The sequence below is a fragment of the Homo sapiens genome, chromosome 3, assembly GCF_000001405.40.
Source record: "Homo sapiens chromosome 3, GRCh38.p14 Primary Assembly".
NCBI lineage: Eukaryota > Metazoa > Chordata > Mammalia > Primates > Hominidae > Homo > Homo sapiens.
The window spans coordinates 163,172,197-163,174,228 of NC_000003.12; positions in this window are offsets into that span (position 1 = coordinate 163,172,197).

A 2,032-nucleotide genomic window follows, 5' to 3' on the forward strand; every position below is an offset into this window, starting at 1 on the left:
GCTGAGTTCAAATCCTGAATATGCTTGTTAATTTTCTGTCTCATTGATCTAATATTGACAGTGGGGTATTAACGTCTTCCATTATTATTGTGTGGGAGTCTAAGTCTATTTGCAGTCCTTTAAGAACTTGCTTTATGAATCTGGGTGCTACAGTATTGAGTGCATTTATATTTAGGATAGTTAGCTCTTCTTGTTGCATTGATCCCTTTACCATTATGTAATGCCCTTGTCTTTTTTTATCTTTGTTAGTTTAAAGTCTGTTTTATCAGAGACTAGGATTGCAACCCCTGCTTTTTTTGTGTGCTTTGCATTTGCTTGGTAAATATTTCTCCATCCCTTTATTTCGAGCCTATGTATGTCTTTGCACATGACATGGGTCTCCTGAATACAGCACACCAATGGGTCTTGACTCTTTATCCAATTTGCTAGTCTGTGTCTTTTAATTGGGGCATTTAACCCATTTACATTTAAGGTTAATATCATTATGTGTGAATTTGATCCTGTCCTTATGATGCTAGCTAGTTATTTTGTGCATTAGTTGATGCAGTTTCTTGATAGTGTCGATGGTCTTTACAATTTGGTATGTTTTTGCAGTGGATGATACTGATTTTTCCTTTCCATATTTAGTGCTTCCTTCGGGAGCTCTTGTAAGGCATGCCTGGTGGTGACAAAATCTCTCAGCATTTGCTTTTCTATAAAGAATTTTATTTCTCCTTCACTTATGAAGCTTAGTTTGGCTGGATATGAGATTCTGGGTTGAAAGTTCTTTTCTTTAAGAAGGTTGAATATTGACCCCTCACTCACTTCTGGTTTGTAGGGTTTCTGCAGAAACATCCACTTTTAGTCTGATGGGCTTTCCTTTGTGAGTAACCTGACCTTTCTCTCCGGCTGCCCTTAACATTTTTTCTTTCATTTAAACCTTGGTGAATATGATGATTATGTGTCTTGAGGTTGCTCTTATCAAGGAGTATCTTTGTGGTGTTCTCTGTATTACCTGAATTTGAATGTTGGCCTGTCTTGCTAAGCTGGGATGTTCTCCTGGATAATATCCTGAAGAGTGTTTTCCAACTCGCTTCTATTCTCCCTTTCACTTTCAGGTACACCAATTAAATGTAGGTTTGATCTTTTCGCATAGTCCCATATTTCTTAGAGGCTTTGTTCATTCCTTTTCAATCTAATCTTGTCTTCATGCTTTATTTTATTAAGTCGATCTTCAATCTCTGATATCCTTTCTTTCACTTGATCAATTTGGCTATTGATACTTGTGTATGCTTCACAAAGTTCTTGTGCTGTGTTTTTCAGCTCCATCACATCATTTATGTTCCTCTCTAAACTGGTTATTCTAGATGGCAATTCCTCTAACCATTTTTCAGCATTCTTAGCTTCCTTGTGTTGGGTTAGAACATGCTTCATTAGCTTGGAGGAGTTTGTTATTACCCACCTTTTGAAGCCTACTCTGTCAATTTGTCAAACTCATTCTCTGTCCAGTTTTGTTCCCTTGCTGGCGAGGAGTTGTGATCCTTTGGAGGAGAAGAGGCATTCTGGTTTTTGGAGTTTTAGGCCTTTTTGAGCTTTTTTTGGTCATCTTTGTGGATTTATCTACCTTTGGTCTTTGATGCTGGTGACTTTTGAGTGGGGTTTTTGTGTGGACATCCTTTTGTTGATGTTGATGCTATTGCTTTCTATTTGTTAGTTTTCCTTCTAACAGTCAGGCCCCTTCTGCTGCATGTCTGCAGGAGTTTGCCAGAGATCCACTCCAGATCCTGTTTGTCTGGGTATCACCAGTGGAGGCTGCAGAACAGTAATGATTGCTGCCTGTCTCTTCCTCTGGAAGCTTCATCCCAGGAGGGAAGCTGCCAGATGCCAGCTGGATCTTTCCTGTATGAGAAGTCTGTCAATTCCTGCTGGGAGTTGTCCGCCCAATCAGGAGGCACACGGGTCAGTGACCCACTTGAGGAGGCAGACTCTCCATTAGCAGAGCTCGAGTGCTGTGTTGGGAGATCTGCTGCTCACTTCAGAGCTGGCAGGCAGA